Source organism: Homo sapiens, chromosome 4, assembly GCF_000001405.40.
Source record: "Homo sapiens chromosome 4, GRCh38.p14 Primary Assembly".
Classification (NCBI taxonomy): domain Eukaryota; kingdom Metazoa; phylum Chordata; class Mammalia; order Primates; family Hominidae; genus Homo; species Homo sapiens.
In genome coordinates, this window is record NC_000004.12 from 10,320,124 (window position 1) to 10,345,738 (window position 25,615).

At 44.4% G+C, this 25,615-nt stretch overlaps 1 annotated feature.

Moving 5' to 3' along the window:
- Window positions 6,482-6,776: a silencer, noted in NCBI's record as "tiled region #4472; HepG2 Repressive non-DNase unmatched - State 22:ReprW". NCBI's record gives its function as "represses a minimal TATA promoter and a strong SV40 promoter by Sharpr-MPRA in HepG2 cells {active_cell/tissue: HepG2}" and the evidence as "EXISTENCE:reporter gene assay evidence [ECO:0000049][PMID:27701403]".

Sequence of the window (25,615 nt, forward strand, 5' to 3'; positions counted from 1 at the left end):
AGTAAAATTTGGGGGACTGAGAAGGAAGAATGAACTGATGTGCACCCCTTCTCTTGCCTGCAGTTCTTGGCAGGCCTAAGCCACGTCCCTGAATTTCCCATACTCGATGCTGTCTGCCCTTGGAAGCTGCTGGCTAATGTTTGGTTTTAACTGTGCTACCCTCTGCAGGTGGCTTTTTACTTCAATTACCTCAGCCTCTCCACGCAGCCTAGGTTGTCCTTTGACCCTTGTATGACTGACACTGCTGTTCTGTCTGTGCACAATGATGGTCATTGTCAAATGAGTATTTGGAATGTTCCTGGTCAGGTTGCTCACCACTGATCACCTCTGCTGGAGATTTGCTCTGCTTTACACACAGGGAGGTTCCACTGGATGTGGATGGCATGGGCACTGGCTCCAGGCGTGGGCCTGGCTCACTGCAGTCTGTTCCCCTGGGCTCTAGGTCTGTGGTGTTCAGACTTCTCTGTCATGGGCTCCTTTTGCTGTGTTGTGGGGTGGAGGTTATGAGGCCAGAAAAATACCCATGCTGCAGGACTGGCAGTCCCATCTCAATGTTTCCCTCCTCCTGATGACGGCAGGCTGAGCCCCCCTGGTCTTGGCAATGTGTCCTCGTTATGTACCAGCTGATGCCCTTCAACCTATTCACCCCAAGAAAGAAGAGGTATCTGGCTAGCCAGGGAAACTTGGCTTCATGTTTTTCTAGGATGCCAAATCAAGGTCCCTAGAGTTGTAGCCTCAGGACAAGTGTCACACAGTGTGTGGTGTGGCAGGTCCGTTCCCCTTGTGATGCCTTTTGTAAAAGTGGATGGAGAGACGACTTAAACTTGTTCTATCTGCAAGTCCATCATACAGCCCCACAAGTGCAGAGTCCTGCCAAGATGCCAAAATGAGCTGTTAGATGCACCTGGATTCTGGGAGTGGCATGGCATGCTTCAGTGCTGACCAGACCAAACTAAAACCCTGCATATTCTAACTTATGGTGCTCACAAAAGCCAATTGTAGGTAGTCCGGAATTCTCAACTTAATCTGGATTAAGATTATATTGTGTTTGGTAAGGATGATGTAGTCATAAATACCCTACATCAGTAATGCAGAGAACTGTTCAATTCACCACTGCTGTTCTTCGTGGTGATGTCTGTAAGTCACACAATTGGATGAGCTGTCTGAGCGGGGGAGGGGGTCTATAGATGAAGCTCATGTCTTGGGTTGTGGAGGGCACCCTGAACCCAAATGCCTAAAAGTCCTGTACCTCTCAGCTTGCATTTTGGAGTCGAGGTGAAGTATATTTGATATAAGACAATACTCTATCTCCTTATCCTCCTGTTAGCCTTGGTATTTTCCTCTAATCATCACGAAGTCTCCAGGTGATCTTCTGCCATTCATTCCAGTATTTGTCAGGTTTATGATACACTGTATGCTGGCTGCACATTTTCACCTGTGTTAAGACTTCAGGGTGCTCCTTTGTTTGTCTAATGTCTGCTCCCTTATCTTGAAAGGTATCAATTCTATGTAAGTCAGTTTCTTTACCTTATTTTTAACAATTCTCTGTTGAGTAAAGCTTAAAGGGACGGTGCCCTTTAAATGACTAGGACTTTATAGTTCTATGTCTTACTGTTGCTACACAACAGTGTCCTCTTGGTAGGAAACGTCTATCAAGGATCACTTTTGTACTCTAACTGGCTTGAGGCAGGAGAAACGGCGTTTGCAGGCAGGTAACTTAAAGTAATTTATGCTAAATTGAGGAAAAACGCCAAGGTCGTGGGGGCAGGGAACCTGAGTTCAATCTGTGCTGACTTCCCAAAGCTACATCAAAAGGAAAACATCTGGGTCTGGGGTCAGGGAACCTAGGTCCCATTAACCACTTCCTAAAGCTAAACCCAAGGGAAAACCCCATCTCCCCCACAAGAGTAGCAAAGGATCCAAGGCTATTCTCCCTCTATCTTCCCCTGTCCACCACGTGGCAGAGGAAAGGAAGTGTGTGTACTGGCTTGGATGCAGGTTATGCAGGGACCATCTGTTTATCTGCAGAGGGTGCCAGTTCACCTCAGTCCTTAATTAGCCATGGACCAAATCCTTTATCCAGATAAGGGGTAACAGATGGGGACCTCAAAAGGAGAACTTAAAACCCAGAGAACTTTGTAACCCGGCTCTTGTGCCACTTGCTGAGGCCCACTCCCACCCCATGGATGCTTTCTCACTTTGATATTGGCTTTTGCTGCATCGTTTGTGTTTCATTCCTTTGTTACTTTGCTTCTGTGTTGTGTTAAAAACGCCAAGGACCTGGACAGTTCACTCAAGGCCCTCCTTCCAGTGTAACAGGCTGAGGGGACATTGACCAAGGTTGAAGGTTTTGACATACATCTGTGTTTTCTCCGAAGCTGTTAGGATTCAGGTACTGCTCCTGAAATTTTCGTCAAGCCATCTGAACACTAGAAGCTTGGGGTTGGATGTTCCCTGTAGTTTCTCTGGATGCCATTGGCACCAATAAAAGTTGTTACAGACAGGGGACAAATGGGATGATGGTCATTGTGGACAATGCTGTGCCTTCTCTGGGCACCCAGGACGACTCTGGTGGAAAGGCGTTGATCTCTGGAACCTTTACAGTCCCACATGATTGCACTGCTGTGGTGACCCGACCCTGTCCCCAAACTGACAGCCAGCTCTGTATCACCGTATTGTAGGTGGGGGAGGCAGCTGTTGGTCATGTCTTGCAGGTATTCTCTCTGATCTGGCTTTTTCTCAGAGATCCTTTCCTGCTGCTGCTGGGTCACAGCCCCCCTGAAGGTTGGCTACAGTAAGCAAGCAGCAAGAAGGCTGCCCCTTAGAAGGAATTAGTGTATTGTCTGAGTGGCTGACCCTGAAAGAAGCATTGTTGGGCAGCAGAGCTGCAAGAAGATGCAGGTCCACTCATCCTTGATGCTGAGAAACAGCTCTGTGAACCTAGGGAGCTCCCAGGCTGGGGATTCTGAGGACTCAGGCATCTTGGTTACTCTGCCAGTGATGCTGGCAAGGATGCAGCCAGGGGACCCACTGAGGTGTGTTGGTCCTTGGGGATAAGTCTGAGTCCAGGGTGCTCTGTGGTGAGTACTTCCTGCTCCAGAGGTGAGGCCGATGGAACCTGGACAGCTATGCAGAGGAGGATAGCAAGCTGCTCATCTCCATAGGGACTGATTTTTGAACTTGTATCTTCTTCCTGGTCTGTAGTAGGTATTCCATATCTTCCTTCCTTAGGAAAGAGCAGTGAGCCTGTTTGTGTCAGGTTGGGCTCAGTTGATGATAAAATGGCCCAGACTTGATGATAGCCTCCCATTGGGGACTTCAACATAAAGTTGTTCTGACTTGATTTTCTACATGGATACCTGCTGGCACCTCATTGGTCCTGCAACAATTGGGGCAGGTTCAACTAGGTTCACCCTGGATTTTCATCTTCCTCACAACCTCACTTATTCTTGGATCCTATTTCTGGTGACTGTTGATCTTGATGTTCTGGCACATTGAGGGTGAAACTAAGTCATCTCCTGCTATAGGGTAAGAAAGTCCCACAGGGAAAACTAACTGGAAGTTGGGTCCTGCCCCATCTTGGTCTCTGAAATCTGTTTTTCAGTAGCAGACAAGAGTCCTATTTCTTAGTTTAAAGCTGGCAAAGGAATGGGCCTTTGGGACCTTTCAGCAGGAAGTAGGAGAGCAAGGAGCACATCCCCAGTTCCTACACAGAGGCAGGAATCTACATCCGCAGAATAATGTAGGTCTTACTGCCCAAAACAGGTTTGTTTTTTGGTTTTTGCTTATTTTTTGTTTGAGACAGTCTTGCTCTGCCACCCAGGCTGGAGTGCCTTTGCACAATATCGGCTGTCTGCAACCTCCACCTCCTGGGTTCAAACAATTCTTGTGCCTCAGCCTCCCAAGTAGCTGGGAGTGCAGGTGCATGCCACCATGACCAGCTATTTTTTTTAATTTTATTTTATTATTATTATACTTTAAGTTTTAGGGTACATGTGCACAATGTGCAGGTTAGTTACATATGTATACATGTGCCATGCTGGCGTGCTGCACCCATTAACTCGTCATTTAAGAGAGTCTTGCTCTGTCGCCCAGGCTGGGGTACAGTGGCTTGATCTCGGCTCACTGTAAGCTCTGCCTCCCGGGCTCATGCCATTCTTCTGCCTCAGCCTCCCAAGTAGCTGGGACTATAGGCACCCACCACCAGGGTTTCACCATGTTGGCCAGGCTGGTCTTGAACTCCTGACTTTAGGTGATCCGCCCACCTCAGCCTCCCAAAGTACTGGGATTACAGGTGTGAGCCACCGTGCCCAGCCTCAAAACAGTTTCCTGAATATTCCTATCAGAGGAGTCCATGGGAAGCAGATCCATGTTGGACTCTGAACACAGCTGGTTTTCATTGTTTCTACCAGTCTTGAGCATCTGGGGACTTCTTCCTAGGAGATGTGGCTGTGTTGGGAGAAGTGAGCTGAAGTCATCGTGTCTTGCATCATCCCTTGGGCTTGTAGATGTAGCCTTAGAGTTCAAACTCTGTACATTACCTGGCATATGACCTTGGCTGTTGGACCCCCCAACTAGTGAGAGATCTCTTAAGTCTCTTGTGTGACTCATGCACTAAAAAGAGCTGTCGTGGAATTGAATACCTTCTTGGGTGCTCCTCTATCTCTGACACTTGGGACTCTGAAGGAACATTTCCTGAAAAGCTTAACCACTCATGCAGGGAAAAGTTAGCACTAGTGATGTTTCTCCTCTTTACATGGATTCAGCTGCTCTTCCGTACCTTTCTCACCCTACCTTCTAATTATCATTGAAGGTACCTTGGTGACATAACTACAGCCTTAAAAGGACCCTCCCCTCAGTCTAGGGAGGATTTTGTGCTTTCATTTCATGTGAACAGTTTGCTGCTGCTTGAAATCCCTTGGTCAAAGAGAGCTGATGACCATTCCTCCTTGCCCATCTTGCATGAATATGACATCAATGATGAAAGAATGATCTCTTTGCAGAAGACTGAGATGAATTTCTGCCTTTGAGGACAAGAATCTTACATGAAAGTAGTGATGAAGGTCCTGTTTCTCCCCACAAAGTCTAAGTGTGTGGTTTCCTTCCTAGTTGGATGTCCTTTAGTAGCTGGTAGTGATTTCAGGTCCCAACCTGAGCGCTGAAGGTCATACTTGCTTTCCATTTAAAGTGTTTCAACACATTGAGTTGATATCTACAGTTTTTCAGCAGGTACAAGGGTTAAAGGGTATAGTCTAGGAAGAAAATTCTTCAATGAAACAAACCTGTTTCACTCAATATACCTACAACCCACAGAAAATTTCATGCACTAAAGAGAGCTGTAGTGGAATTGAACAACCCCTTGGGGGTTCCCTTATTTCTCATTGCCACTTGGGACTCTGGAAGGAAACTTCGTGGAAAGGTTAACCACTCCCACAAGGAAAAGATGGTCCTAGTGACAAGTTACTTATCTGTATCTCCACACAGGAGACTTAAGTGGTCTCTCACTAATGTAGTGGGATTGAACACCCCCTTGAGTGCTCTTCACATACATCTGCCCTGGACAGGCTGATTCAGGAATGGACCTACAGCAGGAGGCAGCCTGAGGATGGGAGGGGCTGCTAAGAGAAGTCTGTATTTCCAAAACTTAAGAGAGCACATGGGTCCCCATGATTCATAAGTGAATAACGTTGATTTCTCTACCTCCCAATTAGCTGGATCCATCTCTATGTACTGTCCTGGGGTGGAAAGGTACTAGGTTAAGTATCATCTGACCTTTAGATCTTTGTTCTTTGATTCTACTGCTTGTGACTAGTCCAGTTTTAAACCCTCAGAATAAGATGAGTACCTTTGCCTTGTATTGCAAGGGATTAATTCTAGGACCTTCAAGTGCTTAAGTCTCTTGTATAAAATGGCATGTAACCTGTGCACATAATCCTACATCCTTTAAGCTATCTCTGGATGACTTACAGTCCCTAATACACTTTACATGTTTTGAACATAGTTGCTTCATTTAGGGGATGAGGACGGCATAGTTCCTGTGACGTCAGTGTATTCAGTACAGCCGTAACTATCCTAGACATAAATATGTAGTTAATGTCGGCAACAAGGGGAACAGTTCCTTTATCGACACATACAGACTGTTTTCTTCTAGTGATCTGAGAGTTAACACTGACAAAGGCCCTGGCTGGTCTGTCTTGATAACTTTTGTGGGATAAGGATGATTACTGTATGGGGCCTACTGTGCCCATGGGGTAATATGACTAGCTTCATTGCACTGTAGTGAGATGTCTGCTTAACATGAACCTTCCAGAAGGATGTCAGAAGGATCATCTATCTACCTTGGAAGAACAGGTTTCTATTACAGTTGTTAATGCTTTAGGGGGAGACTTGGCTGAGGATCTTCAACCATGGATGTTTGAAGCCAATGTTCTGGCAAGAAAAATTGCTACAGGAAACTGTTGCTCTTCATCATGAAATTTTGTGGGGGTTGTAGGCATATATATTGAGTGAAACAGGTTTGTTCCATTAAAGAATTTTCTTCCTAGACCATTTCCTTTAACCCTTGTATCTGCTGAAAAACTGCAGACATCAACTTGATATTATCGAAACACTTTAAATGGAAAGTGACAGTATGGTCTTGAGTGCTCAGGCTGGGACCTGGCATCACTTGATAGGAGAAAGTTTTGACATTTTCTGAAGGCTGTGCTCTAGGATGATGAGGTGGGAATTGGGGAAGTATAGACTGGCTCTGTCTTTCGCAGATCCTTGACCTGAAGCCCAGGAAGCTCATGGATGAGGAGCTGAGTTGTGTATGGGGAGAGAGTGAGGCTTGGCCTGCTGCTGTGGGGAAGCAAAACACCCTGCAGTCCAGAGGGCTTCTAATTTTTCCCTTTGTCTTTGGTATTTGTGTATTCACAAGGAATGCGGGTTGTTCCTGATCCACGTGCAACCAATCAATTCTACCTGCTAGAGTGCTTGCCTTTAATTTATAATGCTATACTGGGTGGGTCTTCTGACTTGCAAGGTCTTTGAAGGAATGGGTGTGTCAAGGACCTGTCTTGGGCTCCTACCTCTACACTGAAGGATGTGCCTCAGGGGCTTTGTATTTCAACAATCTTAATTCTGTCTGTCTGGCACAGGCCATCAGGTACTGGACATCATCAGGGACAAGCCCTGCATGAACGTTTGCAGATGGACATTGCAAGTTTATTCTGCACAGCTCCTTGCTCGTGGTTAGCCTATGACACCGGGCACTGCCTGTGTCTCAGTTTCTCTCTCCTGACACCTGGTAATATGGCATCTTGGCTCTATTTTGTTCACAGATGTGTGCTTAGTGAGTTTTTCTCTTCAGCCATTGTTCAGCTCATGATTCTCAGGGGAGATCATCTGGACAATGTCCTGTATACTTGGGAATCACCATGAGTTAAGGCTCTTCCTGACCCTACCCTCAGCTTTGCTCTACATAGGAAAATGTTCTCATGCAATGCAGAGTTTTACAGCAATTTTCATTATTTTAGTTTTTTGTGTGTATGGGAGGCCAGGATGAGGACATGGGCATGGTACTGTCCATGGCTGTGTTGCTTTTACAAGGTGGCCTGGAGCAGGTCGCTGAGCTTCCCAGCCTCTGCTATGCTTGCACACACATTCTGCAAGATGACTGATGATCCTGAGTGTTGGCTTCTGCAGGACAGTCTCAGCCCTTCTGCTATAGGGATCATCCAGATTCCATAGCTGAAGCATTCCACATGTATCTTATGGTGATCTTTACCTTCTCCCTTAGCCCCATGGATTCTCATGCAGGCCGACCTGGGAGGGGAAGTCTTTGCTTTTGAAACACCCAGGGCTGGGTCAGATGAAACAGAGATGCATTTGAAAGCATGGGTCCTGTGTTCATTCAAACATCTCACCTTGGGTCTAGGTTAATACACCAATGATGTAACATAAATGATTCCAAAGCTACTTTGCTTTCATGTCACCAGCAGGTGCATATGTGGAGTTTGTGACATCATCCTTCCACCCCTCATGGTCACAGCCTAGGGTGTCCTTTAGCTTGTCTGCCTGATGTTGTTCTTCCTTGCGTATCATGAGTGGGTCCCTCTCCTCAGAGTACTTCAGACAGGCCTAGTGAGATGCTCTCCCTCTGGATGTTACAGAGCATATTTTACATCTGATTTATCTCCAGACATGTCCACAGGCTGTGACATGAGCAGTGTTTATCTTGAGCCTGGTTTCTCAGATGTTCTCTGAATATTCACACACCTAGGCTGTGAAATCTCTGGCTCCTCAATATATTGCCATGGGATCATTTCCCTGCCTTAGTCTTAGAGGTTCTTCCATCAGATAGTAAAAAGATAGAAGCATCAGGTGTCAGCTGCGTTAGATCTGTTGACTATTTCCCATTGGTGGTGGTGGCTCTGAGAATGAGGGCACAGAGGTTTCTGAACCACAAGTAAAAAGGGCATGGAGGTGACTCTGAACCCAAATGTCTGCAGTCCTGATCACTCTCCACCCTGCTCTAAGGGGCTACTGCAATTGCGGTGGGTAAGTGAAAAGCAGGCATTACTCCCTTTGGTTTACCTCCTCACTTCTGCAGCTTAGAGGCAGTAAGAACACACATGGCTAGGAAAGCAGTGCTTTGAGCAGTCGAGGTTATAGCTGCTCTCTTCCTCTGAGTGTTCTTTGTTGTAAAGATCCTTAAGTCTGTCCCTAGGTTTCTCCAAGTTGACTCAGTCATGCCCCTTATGGAGCCTGTGTCGCTGGCTGTTTCCCCACCCAGAGAATGTGTGCTGCAGCTCTGAGGGCCTCCTGTGAATCTCACACTTGATGCCTAAGGGAATGTTCTCAGGCATTGGCTGGTGGCTGTGATTCTGATAGCTGTGGTTGATACCTTCCCGTAAGGTAAACACTCAGTCTAATGAGATGGCAGCCCACCCTCCTGGATTCTGTCCTGTTTGTGCCTGTGCTGTTGGGCTAAGTACCTTCTCCCAGGCTGTGACAGCTGTCAGTCTGCTCCAACTTACTAAAGAAACTTTTACAGAATTGGCTCTGTGCTGTTTCACGTGAAGTGACACCAATATGATAGGTGGTCAAAATTATGTCTTTGCAGTAATTGGTGACAACACAAGTTGGGATCTCATAAGGGCCAGTTTGGGGCCTGGATCAAAGAGGCTTATGGAGCTTCCTAACGGGTCCTGATAGAACTGCCAGGCATCCAATGAGCTGCTCTGCACTGACAGGTGCTTCCTTAGGTTCTATCCTGAATGTTGTTTCCTTCAAGCTGTACCATGTTTAGAGTAATTCTGTAGCTTGGAACCAGGAAAATTCTCAGCTCAGTTTCAGGAAATAGGGTCTACTGTAAAGACAAGTCATTTCAGTCTGTTGGCTTTGAGTTCTGTACCCAGCCTACCCTCTGGCCTGAAATTCCATCCAGCCTTGGCAGAGTGCAGTGCATGCAGAGAGCTGAAAAGCAAATTTCTCCTTTTTGACTAGACAAGGGACAGCTGCCTTGTTAGATTCAATAGAGCTGGTCCACCAACCCAATCCTTTTTGGGACCCAGCTTACCATGGGTGTTGAAGGCTAGGGAGCACTGAAGAAATGTACTTTTCTCTTTCTACCTCCTAGACTACACAGGAAGATGATATATATACCTCCCTGATGCCTGGGAAGTGCAACCTGTATCCCCACGGAACTCTTCTCATTCTGTCTCTTCTCCCTGGATCATTCAGCAGGTCAGGGAGTCTCCTGAGTCACCGTTCACCAGCAAGTAGTTCCTTGTGACAGATTTAAGTATCCTGGCAGTTTCTCAAGTCGGTGGTAGGTGCAGAACTTTAAGCTCACCTAAAGGAGAAGGACTCAATGCAGAATACTTGGTGCTGGAGGCTTCTGCCTTTTTTTATGGTGCCTGTGGTAATGTCTGAACGTTGTCCCGGAAAATTTACAGACAATGTTGATCATAGTTGGCAATAGCACCACCTCCTCTGGGTAACAAGGGCTCAGTGGTCTCCTATCAAAGGGGCAGGATTTTGACATCATTCTCATCCCCATGGGTGGGTGTGCTGGGCCTGCCAGGCCCCTGGGGGCACAAACCATGAGCCAGGGTTCTCTTAGATGTGGAAGCAGCTGGTGGTCTTGCTTTCCACGTGTAGGATTCTTTCAGATTTGTAAGGTGGTAGTTTTGGGGGGAGGTGGTTCTGACAGCTGGGGGTAGAGGCTACCAATAGGGAGGGTGGAGAATATTCGGAGCCATCTGTGAGAAAGACTCACTAATGGTCAGTCCTTAGTGAGAAATTATCAGCCTCTCCTGGTGCTGTGCTGACCTGCAATTCATGAAGAGCAGGGAACCTCCTGGTCCATCTGAATGGGACCTTCCACATAGTTTAAGGTGGAGAGAATGACAGTGCTTTTGGTTGTTCTAGCCTGTCAGTCGTGGTAGAGTGACATTTTGAAGACTATTTCCATCTCTTTATGTTTGGAACAACTGATAAGCAACTGGTGTCATATCTGAACTGGTGATAGAATCAAGTGGGGAAGTTATTTGGGTAACAGAATACCTTGTAGAAAGTTCTAAATCGTATATTTAGTACACTTCATAGAAAACAAATAATCAGGACCTACTCTTGTAAATTTTAATCTGTCTTTCATGCCATTTGTGCCTATACATTTCCCACGTAAATTGAACAAACACATCTATTTATCACACTTAAACACTGAAATGCTCAGGATATACTATACGTTGCCTTTAATTTTGTTCTTCATTGATTCTCAGGGTAAGAATAGTTACGAAGACTCTTAGAGGAACTTTCAGGTGAACATCAGTGACTGACTCCGGATCCCCCTGACAAAAGAATATTAGGAATGTTGGACAGGTCTTACATTTCTTTCTCTTTCTGCTGTACTAAATGGACATCAAGTTAGTGCTTAAGTAAAACAGGTTTTTTGTTTAATTATTTAAATTTTAGGGTACATGTGCACAACGTGCAGGTTTGTTGCATATGTATACATGTGCCATGTTGGTGTGCTGCACCCATTAACTCATCATTTAATACTAGGTATATCTCCTAATGCTATCCCTACCCCGTCCCCCCACCCCACAACAGACCCCAGTGTGTGATGTTCCCCTTCCTGTGTCTGTGTGTTCTCATTGTTCAATTCCCACCTATGAGTGAGAACATGAGGTGTTTGGTTTTTTGTCCTTGTGATAGTTTGCTGAGAATGACGGTTTCCAGCTTTATCCAGGTCCCTATAAAGGACATGAATTCGTCCTTTTTATGGCTGCATAGTATTCCATGGTGTATATGTGCCACATTTTCTTAATCCAGTCTATCGTTGTTGGATATTTGGGTTGGTTCCAACTCTTTGCTATTATGAATAGTGATGCAATAAACATATGTGTGCATGTGTCTTTATAGCAGCGTGATTTATAATCCTTTGGGTATATACCCAGTAATGGGATGGCTGGGTCAAATGATATTTCTAGTTCTAGATCCCTGAGGAATCACCACACTGACTTCCACAATGGTTGAACTAGTTTACAGTCCCTCCAACAGTGTATAAGTGTTCCTATTTCTCCACATCCTCTCCAGCACCTGTTGTTTCCTGACTTTTTAATGATGGCCATTCTAACTGGTGTGAGATGGTATCTCATTGTGGTTTTGATTTGCATTTCTCTGATGGCCAGTGATGATGAGCATTTGTTCATGTGTCTGTTGGCTGCATACATGTCATCTTTTGAGAAGTGTCTCTTCATATCCTTCGCCTGCTTTTTGATGGGGTTGTTTGTTTTTTTCTTGTAAATTTGAGTTCATTGTAGATTCTGGATAGTAGCCCTTTGTCAGATGAGTAGGTTGCAAAAATTTTCTCCCATTTTGTAGGTTGCCTGTTCACTCTGATGGTAGTTTCTTTTGCTGTGCAGAAACTCTTTAGTTTAATTAGATCCCATTTGTCAATTTTGGCTTTTGTTGCCATTGCTTTTGGTGTTTTAGACATGAAGTCCTTGCCCATGCCTATGTCCTGAATGGTATTGCCTAGGTTTTCTTCTAGGGTTTTTATGGTTTTAGGTCTAACATTTAAGTCTTTAATCCATCTTGAATTAATTTTTGTATAAGGTGTAAGGAAAAACTCTCAATAAATTAGGTATTGATGGGATGTATCTCAAAATAATAAGAGCTATCTATGACAAACCCACAGCCAATATCATAATGGGCAAAAACTAGAAGCATTCCCTTTGAAAACTGGCACAAGACAGGGATGCCCTCTCTCACCACTGCTATTCAACATAGTGTTGGAAGTTCTAGCCAGGGCAATCAGGCAGGAGAAGGAAATAAAGGGTATTCAATTAGGAAAAGAGGAAGTCAAATTGTCCCTGTTTGCAGATGACATGACTGTATATCTAGAAAACCCCATCATCTCAGCCCAAAATCTCCTTAAGCTGATAAGCAACTTCAGCAAAGTCTCAGGATACAAAATCAATGTGCAAAAATCACAAGCATTCTTATACACAAATAACAGACAAACAGCCAAATCATGAGTGAAATCCCATTCACAATTGCTTCAAAGAGAATAAAATACCTAGGAATCCAACTTACAAGGGATGTGAAGGACCTCTTCAAGGAGAACTACAAACCACTGCTCAATGAAATAAAAAAGGATACAAACAAATGGAAGAACATTCCATGCTCATGGGTAGGAAGAATCAATATCGTGAAAATGGCCATACTGCCCAAGGTAATTTATAGATTCAATGCCATCCCCATCAAGCTACCAACGCCTTTCTTCACAGAATTGGAAAAAACTACTTGAAAATTCATATGAAACCAAAAAAGAGCCTGCATTTGCCAAGTCAATCCTGAGGCAAAAGAACAAAGCTGCAGGCATCACGCTACCTGACTTCAAACTATACTACAAGGCTACAGTAACCAAAACAGCATGGTACTGGTACCAAAACAGATATAAAACCAATGGAACAGAACAGAGCCCTCAGAAATAATGCCGCATATCTACAACTATCTGATCTTTGACAAACCTGACAAAAACAAGAAATGGGGAAAGGATTCCCTATTTAATAAATGGTACTGGGAAAACTGGCTAGCCATATGTAGAAAGCTGAAAAGTAAAACAGGTTTATCTCACGTTACAGTGGTGATCAATAGACTGAAATTGCTCTCACCTAGACAAAATGAGGCTGTCTACATGGTTGGCTTGTTTTTTTCTAGAGGACTGTCTGTTTCCTTGACTTCCTTTTCAGCAGCCCACTGCATTCCTTGACTTCTGGCCCCTTTTTCTGGGCTTCACATGGAGGGATTCCGCCCTCAGCTTCAGAGCTGGGAGTGCCTCTTGAGATCTGATTCTCATTCTGCTTCTGTCTCCTTCTTCTGCTTAATTTTTTGAATCACCTTTGATGACAAGGGACCCTCCTGGAGGATCCAGGGTGATCTCTGCACGTTAGCTGATTAGCAACCTCAGTTCTGTCTCCCAAATACCCCCTTGCCATATCAAAAACATGTTCCCAGCATCTAAGGATTAAGACTTACAAATCTCAGGGGGTCACTAATCTGCCCATGTTATTGAGTACCTAATTTCAAAGTGTCCTGAGGAAGCCCACAGGAAGATGCTGAACTGGTGAAAGGGTGGCGAGAATAACCAGTGAAGGGGTCGGGGGGGTGGGTGGGGAGGGAATTGAGCTTACTTATGGAGGCGACTGGGACTCTATCTTGCTGTATGTCTTCAGCCAGGGATAATGCATCTCGATCGTCCCTTTGGGATGATGTTCTGGTCACCGTCAACCCTATCAGACATGTTCCTTAGTTTTTCCTTTATCCTGAAGGCCATGAATTCTTGTCTGAAAGGTGGCTCTGCCTGAAAACAAGTAGACTAAAAAGGTACAGGTGTAGCCCTGAGCAGCCCAGTCATTCCAGAAGAATGCTAAAGGCTGGGATCACCCTTTCAGCATGTGGGGGATGGGCTCAGGATCCACTGCAGCAGGGAGCTTTCTACTGCCTTCCTGTAATAGGGACACTTCCCTCTCCTAGGAAGAGATTCTTAACATACCCTTGTATGTCATTCAGCTTTCTGTGCCTCACACAGGATGTAAAAAGTTGCATACAAAAATTGACAAGTCATCCTTTTAATAACTTCTAAGTCTCCTACTTTCTCTTCCACAAAAATGAGATTGTATGCTTAAAGATCTAAAAGTAGTGTTCCTTTAAACGTCAGCTCTCTGTTATATACCATGAGTTCTAAGATGAACTACTAGAAGGAAGTTACAAACTTCATTCCTTCAGTGGGATGTGAGAGATTTGAGTGTGCAGATTTCTCATTGTGTATGCATATGTGAATGTGGCATTTTATTGCAATATACTCTAAGTTTAGGTGTAAATAGGATCTAAACTGTTAACACATTTAGTTTTTTTAAAGAAACTTTTGCATGTGAGCTTTTAAGTCTGCATCTGTTTTTGTGCAACTGGTATATTTTGAAGGAAGAAATGTATTCCTTCCAATGTCCCACATTGTTCGGATGCATTGAGTCATAGTGAGAGAGACCAAAGTCACTGCCTCCCAATTACAACTTTTAGGATTGAATGAGCAGGAGTGATGAGATCCTTTGAAACTTTTATACTAACTGTCCCTGGCGGGACTAAACCATGTCCCTGAGTCAACCAGAACCTGTGCTGATTTCTAGTGGAAGCTGCTGCCAAGAGTGTCTGCTGTAACTTTGCCCAGTTCTTTATAAAGTGCTTTGACACCCATCATCTCTGTCTCTTAGACACAGCCTAGGTTAGCCTTTGATCCTTGTCTGCAGGGTGCTCTTGTTCATTTTGTGTTTGTGAGAGTCATTCCCAAGCCGGAGTGCCTGGAATGGTCCAGGTAAAGTGTACAACCACCTGACTGCTCAGAGATTTGACATTTTACTCCCAGGAAAGTTCCACTGGGTGTGGAGTTTGTGGGCAGTACTGATGGGGGTCTCGGATGTCATGGTCCTTTCTCCTAGTGTTCTCGCTGCTGGTCTTGCTTTCCATATCTTAGACCCTTTCACGTTTGTGTTTTGTGTTTCTTTCTTGGAAAGTGATTCTAAGAGCCTGGAAGGCAGCAGACATAGCGGGAAGAGGAAGATGATTTAGAGCTGTCTGTCAGGAAGAGCTTGCTGTTGTGAGTGTGCAGTGAGAAATGTGCTAGTTGGGAGCCATGCTGACCTACAGCTTGGGAAAGGCAGGGACCTCGTGCTCTCCTGTGAAGTGGGAGCCTCTCTGGGACGCAGAACTTCAGGAAGCACTCGGTTGTCTGTCAGTCTACTTAGTTGCTTGGAAACGGGCATTTTGAAAATGTTTGGTTTTTGTGTTTGGAATGATTTATATATGATTTCTACTCTGATGGTAGAATCCAGTGAGGAAGATGTCTTGCTCCATAGAATAGTTCATTAATGTACTGTGCTGTATATTTAGTTTCCTCCATAGAAAACCAAAATACCGATTTCTTTCATGTTTTAATCTATTTCAAAGCATTTGACACTCACTTGAAATGAGAACCATCTGTAATATCACTGCAAAATCTCCCTCCTGGGATGCTAAGAGGATGTGTGGCCATTCTTCTTGCCTGTTTTCTGGATTAGGGTCACCAGAGAGGAGAGTTCTAAGGCCTCCTAGTTGAAATAGAAGGTGAAAAGCAGTGACTTCTGGATTCCCCTGAATGTTGAAGTAAGAATTTTGGACAGGTGCTATATTTCCTATGGTATTGTGATAAGTAATCAGTGCATTAGGAGCTTAAATGTAAATAAATTTATTCTATCAGAGAGATGAGAGGTGTTTAGAATGGAGTCACTCGGAAAAAATGAAAATGTTGGCAAAGTTGTCTGTCTGCTCCATTGGGCAATTTGTTTCATGCCTTTAGCTATCTTTAGAGACCCCCAGCATTCCTTACCTTGTTTCTTCTGTAACCTTCAGTGTGGGGACCCTTTTCTGCCTCAGATGGGACCACCTCTGTCTGCCCAGTGTGCACCCACATCTCGAATTCTGATTCTCCCCTCCAATTCTCCCTGCCTCTCCCACTTTCACACTTGAATCACTTTCCTGACATTGCTCCCCCTGAGCAATCCCGGGAATCTCTGTACCTTCAAGATGATGAGCAACCTCATTTCCGTCTCTCCCCTTCACTCCCTGCCTGCTGTGTAGCATAGCATATTCATGGGTTCTCGGGGCTTGGAGGAGGACTTAAGAGGGACCCTTCATCTGCCTACTTTATTGGTCCCTTATTTGAAAGTGATCCAAGGGAGCCCAGAGGAGAGTGAAAGGGGGTGGCAATGTAGAGAGGGCAGCCACTGAAGAGGGGTTAGGATTGAGCTGGTCACTGATGGAGGTGACTGAGACTCAACACTGCTTGGGGACCCTGGAGGAACCACGAGCAATCCATTTCACAACATCCCTCCTGGAGGGCTACAGTCCGGTTTAACCCGCTACCTCTAACATTCCACCAATTTTCTCTTTACCCAAGTATCTATTCCCCTGAGCTGCTGGGGTGCCTCTGCAGGAAAATGAGCTAGCTGAGAGGATGAGGGCATGGCCTGGGGCAGCTCAGTCATTCAAGTAGAATGTGCAGCTGCCTGTGTTTCTGTCTCAGCAGAAGACAAATGACCTCAGTGTCTACTGCAGCAAGGAGCTCCCCACTCTTCCTTCCTGTGATGGGGACTTTCTCCTTCTCCTGGGAGAGCTGCTCACACACCCCTGTCTTTTTCACCCTTGTCGTGTAACTATCTCCTGCAAAGTCTGTTTCTATTAAATTTATCAGAATGAGAATAAAAAATGGAGATGACTGATCATTATATTCAAAGGATGTTTTGTCTTTTAAGTCTCATGCTTTCTACCACAGCAAAGAGGTGAGACTGTTTCATTCAAGAGCTAAAATGTCATCTACCTTCTATTTTATGTCACTTGTCATATGCTGTTATAATTGTTGACGAAATTTGCAATGCTCAGTCCTTCATGGGGCTGTAATGCATACTTGTAAGAACACGTCAACTTTTGCTTGTTATTGCTATAGAACATACTACTTAGGAGTAAATAAGATTGCAACTCTTAACATTTAGTTTAGGTGTGCTTCCACATGGTCCTAAGCTGCTAAGAACAGTCAGCATCCCATTTGAAATTGAGCCATTGATGATCTTTTCATCAGAATTTATTTTTCCCTCCTCCAGCATTTCCTACTTTTTCCCTTGAGTAGGGGGTGTGGGGTTGAATTGTGATTCCAGCCAAAAGAACTCTGGCTCCCAATTGAAATGTGTAGGGTTGAATAAGCTGGTGTGGACCCCTTGTCTTGTTTGCAGTCCTGGCAGGATTAACCCAAGTACCTGTATCCACCGTACCTGGTGCTGTCTTCCCTTGCAAGCTGCTCATAAATGTGCTTGGGTTTAATTTTGCAATCCTCTGTAGCTTTTCACTTCTATTACCTCAGCTTCTGGACAGTTCCTAGGTTGTTCTCTGACTCTAGCGTGACTGGCATTGATACTGTTTCCACATGAGGGTCATTATTAAACCAGAGGATTTACAGTGCTCCTGGTGAGGTTTCTCACTACTTTTCTGGTGGAGAAATTCACTCCATTTCATGCCCATAAAATGGACTACATGGGCAGTATTGATTGGGTCTGGGTCACCAGAGTCTTCCCTCACTGGCTTCTGCATCTTGAGACCTCAGTCTTGGGTATTAAACCTTCCTTGCCATTGCTCCCTTTGCTGTGGTCAAGGGTAGAGGTTAAAGGCCCAGCAACATCCATGCCATAGGACTGGCCCTTCCAAGTCTCACAATCTCTTCTCTCCTCTCCTCCCAATGTTATTAGGTTGATTCCAAGTCTCACAATCTTTTTCCCTTCTCCCAGTGTTCTTAGGTTGAGCCCCAAATACAGCTGCCCATGGTCATAGCAGTCTGTCCTCTTTATAGACCAGCTCTGATTTTCTTTCTTGGTGTGAGTGGGTTGATGAAGTATGTGGCTAGTTCGGAAAACTCCTTGGTTCATGCCTTGGACACAGAATCAAGGTTTGAGTTCTGGCTCCAGGACACAGTTGCACAGCCTATGCTGTGACAGGTGTGGCAGGTCAGGCAGTTCCCCTTATGATGCCTTCTGCAAAGGTAGATGGGATCCACTTTGATAATGTTCTATGTAAAAGTCTTAATACCCCTGTCCTACTGGGTTAAAGCCCTGCCTACAAGAGAAAAATAAGCTGCATTTTTAGCTAATTTGGATTCTTGGCATAGTACAGCATGCTTCGGGATTGGCTAGATCGAGTCTACCTCACTGGATCTTCCAGATCTGTTTTAGTGGTCACAACACTAGTACCTATGTGGTACTGAATTTTCAGATTAATAGGATTCAAAATCTACATTTCAACAGATTTTATTCTGATGGAAATTTTTCTAAACATAATGCAGGGAAGTATTGAATTATCTGTTGCTGTTCCTTATCATCGCTGTAACTCAGACAGTGGAATGAGCATTCTGAGCAGAGTTCATAGATATTTGAACACCATGTCCGGGTCCATGGAAGATACCCTGAACTCAAATGCCTGAAAGTCCTGTACCTCTCCAAGCTTGCACTTTGGGGCCCAGGAAGAGGGGGATGTCCAAATTAGTGGAGCAAATGCGTTCTGTCCATTTATCCTCATTTTAGCCTTCATATTTTTCTCCCATCATCAGAAAAACTCCTGTGATCTTCAGACACATTCATTCTAGAATTTATCTCATCAAGTACTATCTTTTGCCTGTATATTTCTATTTAAGTTTATATAACCTTGTCTGCCTGATGTCTGCTCCTATTCCTTTAAGGATATTAACTCTCTAAATTTCTTGATCATAGGGTCTTTACTCTGTGAAGTTTTCTTAAAATGATGCCCTTCAGATGACTAGTCTTTGTCCTGTGGTTTCCAGTAGTGGTGGTAAAGCCTGTGCATCTGTATTGGTGGAAAGGCTCAATCAGGAAACATCACTGTTCTGATAGAGACGTACCCCAGGGTTAAAGGTGATAATGTATATCTCTGTTTCCTCCAAAGCTGTACCATGTGAGTGCTGCTGCTCAAATGTTCCCAGCAAAATCTGAATTGCTAGAAGGTTGGGGATGTGCATTCCTTGTAGTTTATCTCTGGATGTCTTTGGCACCAATGGAGATAAAATATTTGCAGATAGGGAACAGACATCATCTTTGGTAATACTGTGCCTTTGCTGGGCAACCAGGGTCCATCTGGAAGACTTGGAAGTGAATTCTGAAACCTTGACAATCATGCAGTGTCACACTGCTCCAGTTAGCTGACCCTTGGTGCAAAACCGGGAGCAAGTAACATTTCCTGAGAAATGGCAGCTGTTGCTCATGCCTTTTATGCATTCATCCTTGCTGGCTTTTTCTAAGATAATTTTCTGCTGGCACCGGGTCCAGAGTTACGTCCTGGGGGTCAGTTGTAATAGGAAAATAAACCATGCTAGGACTTTTCCTCGTAATGAATTTCTTAGTCCATTTGTAAGCTGTAGCTTCTGACAGGAAGAAGCACTGTTGGTCAGCAGAGCTGCAAGGAGATGTGAAACTCCTCACCCATCATACTGAGAAATGATATCAAACATGTTGAGCTCCCGGTCAGCTTGGAAGTCTGAGGACTTGGGTATCTTACTTCCTTTGGCAGTGAAGCTAGTGAGAATTCAAGTTGTGAACTGCCTGAGTCTTCATGGTCCTCGGGGATGATGAGCCATGTGAGTCCAGGGTGGTCTGATTGACTACTGAAAAGGTGAGGTCAATTCAGCTAGGACAGATTTGCAAATTGCTAATTATCAAAGGATGTGAACAGACCCTCCTCAGAGGGAAGACATTTATATGGCCAACAAACATATGAAAAATCACTGATTATTAGAGAAATGCAAATCAAAACCATACTGAGATACGATCTTATGCCAGTCAGTGGTGATTATTAAAAGTCAGGAAACAATAGATGCTGGTAAGGCTGTGGAGAAAGAGAGATGCTTTTACACTGTTGGTGGGAGTGTAAATTAGTTCAACCATCGTGGAAGGCAGTGTGGTGATTCCTTAAGGATCTAGAACCAGAAATACCATTTAATCCAGCAATCCCATTACTGAGTATATGGCCAAAGGATTATAAATCATTCTGTAAAGACACATGCACATGTATGTTTATTGCAGCACTATTTACAATAGCAAAGACTTGGAACCAACCCAAATGCCCATCAATTATAGCCTGGATAAACAAAATGTGGTACACGTACACCTTGCAATACTATGCAGCCATAAAAAATGAGCTCTCCTTTGCAGGCCCATGGATGAAACTGGAAGCCATCATCAGCAAACTAACACAGGAACAGAAAACCAAACACCGCATGTTCTCATAGTGGGAGTTGAACAATGAGAACACATGGACACAGGGAGGTGAACAACACACACTGGGGCCTGTCGGGAAGTGGGAGGAAAGGGTAGGGAGAGCATTAGGACAAATACCTAATGCATGTGGGGCTTACAATCTAGATGACGGGTTGATAGGTGCAGCAAACCACCATGGCACTTGTATACCTATGTAACCTGGACATTCTGCACATGTATCCCGGAATTTGAATTTTTTTAAAAAAAAAATGCTAATTTTCTCTATAGGAACAGATTTTTGAACTTGTACTTTCATGTACAATACTCAATTAAAATATACCCAGACTCAGTCATGACAGCCCACCAATGAGGAGCACTCCAACTTAGATGCTTCTAGTTTTTCTTGTTGTTGTTGATTGATCACTGCTGGTGTCTCATTAGCTGGCCAACAGAGCAGGTTAACCTCCTTCCCCTTCTGGTTTCCATCATTACTTGTCTCATGATCCTTAATTATATTACTGGTGACTGGTCACCTTGCTGATGTGCCACACTGAGAAAGACAGTTTTTTTTATTGGCATAGGGTGGAGAAAGTCTTCCAGTAACAATGAACCAAGGTTTCAGCCACCCTATTTTCTCTACGAAATCATTCAGTACAAGATGAGTTATTTTTCTGTTTAAAGGTGAAGTAATGCAGGTTTGGGTTCCTTAAGCAGGAAGATAGACCGAGGAGCTCATCTGCAGTCCCTACACATCAGCATCCCCAGATGGGGCTCCTGAAACACTCAGGGTCAGGTGAGCAATGCTCAATACCTGGCTCACTGGGGGTCTCAGTTACTATGGGAAAAACCCTGGTTTAGAAGACATTCAACAGATTGTGTGACTTAAAGATTAAAAAATTAGAGACAGGAGCCTGTCTGCATAAAAGACAGATTTCTGAAAATCCCAGACAGGAATCTGGGGGAACAGATTTGGGTTACCCTCCGATAGAACACAGCTGTTCTTCCCAATTTCATCCAGTCACAGGGAAGCTAATGATTCAATGCTCAGATAACAGGAGTGCGCTGGGAACAGTCAGATATCATCTTGTTTTAGCTCATTCCATGAACCCATAGAGATCTTTGAGTTCACACTCTGTGAATCTCTTGGCATATGACATTGGCTGTTGGTTCTCAGCTTAGAACTAGTAAGTCTTGAGCATGGTCTATTCATTAAAAAGGGCTGTAGTAAAATATATCCTTTGGTTCTGACCTCTCACTGCCTGTTTAGGTTGTGGAAGGAAGCACTTTATTGGGAGCTTAACCTATCATATGAGGACAAGTTTATGCTAGTGATAAATGTCATTCTTGCTTGTCATGAGAAAGTAGCTGTTTTCCCTCACCTAGTTTTATCTTCTCTGCTAATTAGCATTGAAGGTACTTTTGGGGACATTACTATGGTCTTAGACGGATCCTCCACTGAATACTATATGGAGAATTGTCTGCTTTAATTTCCAGGTTAGTAGTCTGCTTGTTCTTGGAATTCTTCCTTGGATGAGGCAGGTAATGGCTAGTCTCACATGAGGCTAATGTGAACCTTCTCCCAGATATCACAAGGATCATCTACATTGGAAGACTCAAGTTCATTGCAGATGTTGGTGTTGTGGTGGAGATCCAAGAATATTGTCAGGATCTGGAGAGATTGGGGGATCTTCAAGCTTTAAAAGTCCAGGCTTTGTAATCGCTGATACTTTTAGATACGTTGTTATAGCAAACTGTCTTTGTATATTTATAAATCTTACAATGCTTGTAGGCCTATTACTTTCCCTTAGTTTACAGAACCCTTGATCCACAAAGGATAGTACATCAGGATCATACCCTGTAACACTTGTGCCTCTTGCAAAATGGCTACAAAGATCATCTGGATACTTCGAAACACTGCAAATGGAAAGCGTGAGTGTGGCCTGGAGTGGCCAGGTGGGGACCTAGAATGATGTGACAAAGGAAGTTTTCGTATCTTGAAAAGCCTGTGTTCTGGAGAGAACAGAAGAACATAATTGTATCCTCTCCAGACCCTTGACCTGAAACTCAGAATACTTGGGGCTGAGAAGGTACTGACACTGGTCCCAGGGGAGGGAGCAAGGCTTTGTATGCTGCTGTATGAAAACTCTCTACTCCAGAAGATTGATACTTTTTTTTTTCTTTACATGTGTCCTGAGGGGTGCGGCTTGTTCCTTATTGATGCATGCTACTTGATGTGGAACTATTGTTGAATTCCTTAAATCTATTGAACCAAGGATGCATCTTTGGTTCTACTAGCTGTGTCAGCAGCCTTGCAAGGTATTTGTGGGGGGAATGAAGGAATGGGGTGCGTACAGACTTATCTGGGGGTTCTGTCTCTGTTCTGATAGTCACCTCAGTGTCTTTGCATCTCAACAGCTCTAATCCTGTGGTTGAGGCACAGGTCATCATGGGTGTTAAACCTACAGGGAAGACCACTGCATTAGGGAAAAAACTTGAAGAGGGACATGGCCTGTCTCTCCTTCATAGCTCTCTGCTTATGGTTACCCGGTGTTACTGGGCACTGCCTAACATCTCTGCTGACCCATGGTGAATTTCTTTGGCTTGACTCCTGGTGAAACTCCTCAGGGGGTTTGTTTCCACTTCAGGCCTTGTTCATCTGGTGATTCTCAGAATAGCGGATTTGATTTAGTGTCCTGGAAATTTGGCAATCACCATGAATGAGGCTGTCTGCTTCTAGCCTGAGTTATCCTTCAAATCTGAAAATGTGTCAATGAAATGCAGCCTACTGCAACAATTTCTGAGTTGTTTTTCTTAGGGGATGTCTAGAATAATTTGCAACTTTTCTGTATAGAGGAAGAGAAGAGGCTTTGGCCAGTACTGGTGCTGGAAGGATTAAATTACAGAATCACTGTTACAAAGTTAACCTGTAAACATCCCATATCTTCTAGAGAAAAGTTTGCTAAGCTGTCTTTCACGTATTAACAAAAATAACTTTGGAATGTAAATTAATGAACAGAGCTTATTATGTAGTTGTAATTTCAATTAGAAATGCAAAAATGTGCCTCGATTTATTTGTGACGTAAGTAATCTGGCACTTACATCTTGACCATGCCAGTGAAAGAAGAGTTAAGGTCCTCTCCTTTTCAATATGAAGGGAAATTACGGTGTTTTAGTTTAGACTTCCTAAATTCCAAACCCAAGTGCTATATGTCTTAGGTAGATGATACTGTGGAAGTGATCCCAGAAACCCAGAGCATGAAATGGTGAGAGACACGGTGAGGACAGTAGCCAGAGGTGGGCAGAGCACTGAGTTGATCACAGCTAGGCTGCGTGTGGCTCAGTTCCTCTGGGAATGCTTGACAGAACCACATCAAATGCATCTCAGAATGCCCTAGCTAGAAACAGGTGGTTCCATGACTCACTCTCCAACTTGGTCCATCCTGATGATGATTAATGTCTACACACTGAAATGTCCCCTTGTGCCCAAGGCTGGGCTGCCTTTGTTGAATTTGGAGAAAGCTCTAGGGCTCTCACATTGAGGAAGGGTCATAGGAAAGTTTTCTGGTGGGATAGGGCTGCAAACCTGATGCCATTCTGTATAGCTGTGCAGATAACGTGGAGGTCACTAAGATGTCACTGAGCTCCCCAGCCTCTGCCGCACCTGCCTACACATTCCAAAAGATTCCCAATACTCCTGGGTTTTCCTTTAAGTAGGAAAGGGACAAAATTAGTCCTTCTATAGTATGACTGTTCATGTTACATAGCTGAAGACTGACATCCATCCTCTTGTGAAGGGTTGTTACCTTGTGTCAAGCCCTGTGGATTGTAATAAAGGCTGGCTTTGGGATGTGACATCTTTAGAAACACCCAAGACTGCATCAAAGCAAAGAGGTGTGTTTGGAACCATGGTCCTGCATTCACTGCAGTGTCTAACCTTTGGTCCAGGTTGTTTTTGACACAAAGGTCAAGGTGGTTTTAGATGGAACAAGGAGAGGGATTCCAAGGCTACTTTGATTTCACTTTCCAGCAAGTATTTATTGGTTTTGTGTAATCTGGATTCTGCCAAACCCTCGTAGTCATAGCCAGGATGTCCCTTGTCTGCCTGATACTCTTGCTGCTTATGTTTTGTCAGGGGTTCTTCCCTTCCCTGGGTATCTGACATGGTCCAAGTGAGGTTCTCACCCTCTGGATGTTATGGAAGAGGCTTTGGTTCTGATTTCCCTCTAGGTATATCTGTAGGGTGTGGTTACAAGGTCAGTGTTGGTGTGAGCCTGGCCTCACAGATCTCCACCCAAGACTCACATGGGTTGTCAAATCTCTGGTTCTTCCCTAAGTTACCACAGGGTCATCTCTCAGGGGCTGTCTTCAAGGTAAGTAGATGGAGTCCCTTAAAGTAGCAGATCCTTCAGGTGATAGTGCTTTCCATCTTTTAATTTCCCATTGGTTGTGGTTGTTTGAGAATGAGGACGCGTGTTTGATGCACAAGTACAGTGTAGGGATTTAACCCTGAGCCCAAATTCTTTGAAGTCCTGATGACCCTCCACCCTGCTCTGAAGGGCCCCTAGGAAGAATGTGGTTGAGAAATTGAAATGCAAACACTTACCCCTTTTGATTACCTTGCCATTTTTTCTGCAATTACAGAGGCAGTAGGAATGCCAATCATTAGGAAAAGTGCTTTTTATCTTCCATGTTGTGTAGTCATCCTTCTCCCTGAATGCTGACGTTCAAAGATCCTCTCGCCTGACCCTGGGTTCCTCCCTGGTTGACCCATAGTCAAGCCCCTCATGGAGTCTGTCACTGGAATCCCCCCAGCCATAGGATGTCTGCAGCAGCTCTGAGTGGCTCCCATGAATCCCATGCATGTATCAGGCAACGTTCTCAGGTACTGGCCTGTGCGGCTGTGACTCTGATGGCTATGATTGATATGTTCCTGTAAGAGCACCACTGAGTCCAACCAGGCAATTGCTTTCCTGTAGTGTCTAATTTGTGCCTGCTCTTCTGGGCTTGAATTTTTATCTAGGCTGAGAAATATCTGAGCCAGCACACTAAAGGACACTGACAGAATCGGCTATCATATGCTGCCTTGTGTGAAGTTACCATGATACAACGGACAGATAATAAAATACCTTATCTATTCAGTCACCAGAAGAAACATGTGTTGCGATCTGATAAGATCCAGGTGAGGCCTGGGGCTGAGGCTGATGGAGCTTCCTTAGAGTCCTCAAAGTTGCCCAGTGTCCAGTGAGCAGCTCTGCAGTAACAGATACTACTTTGGATTT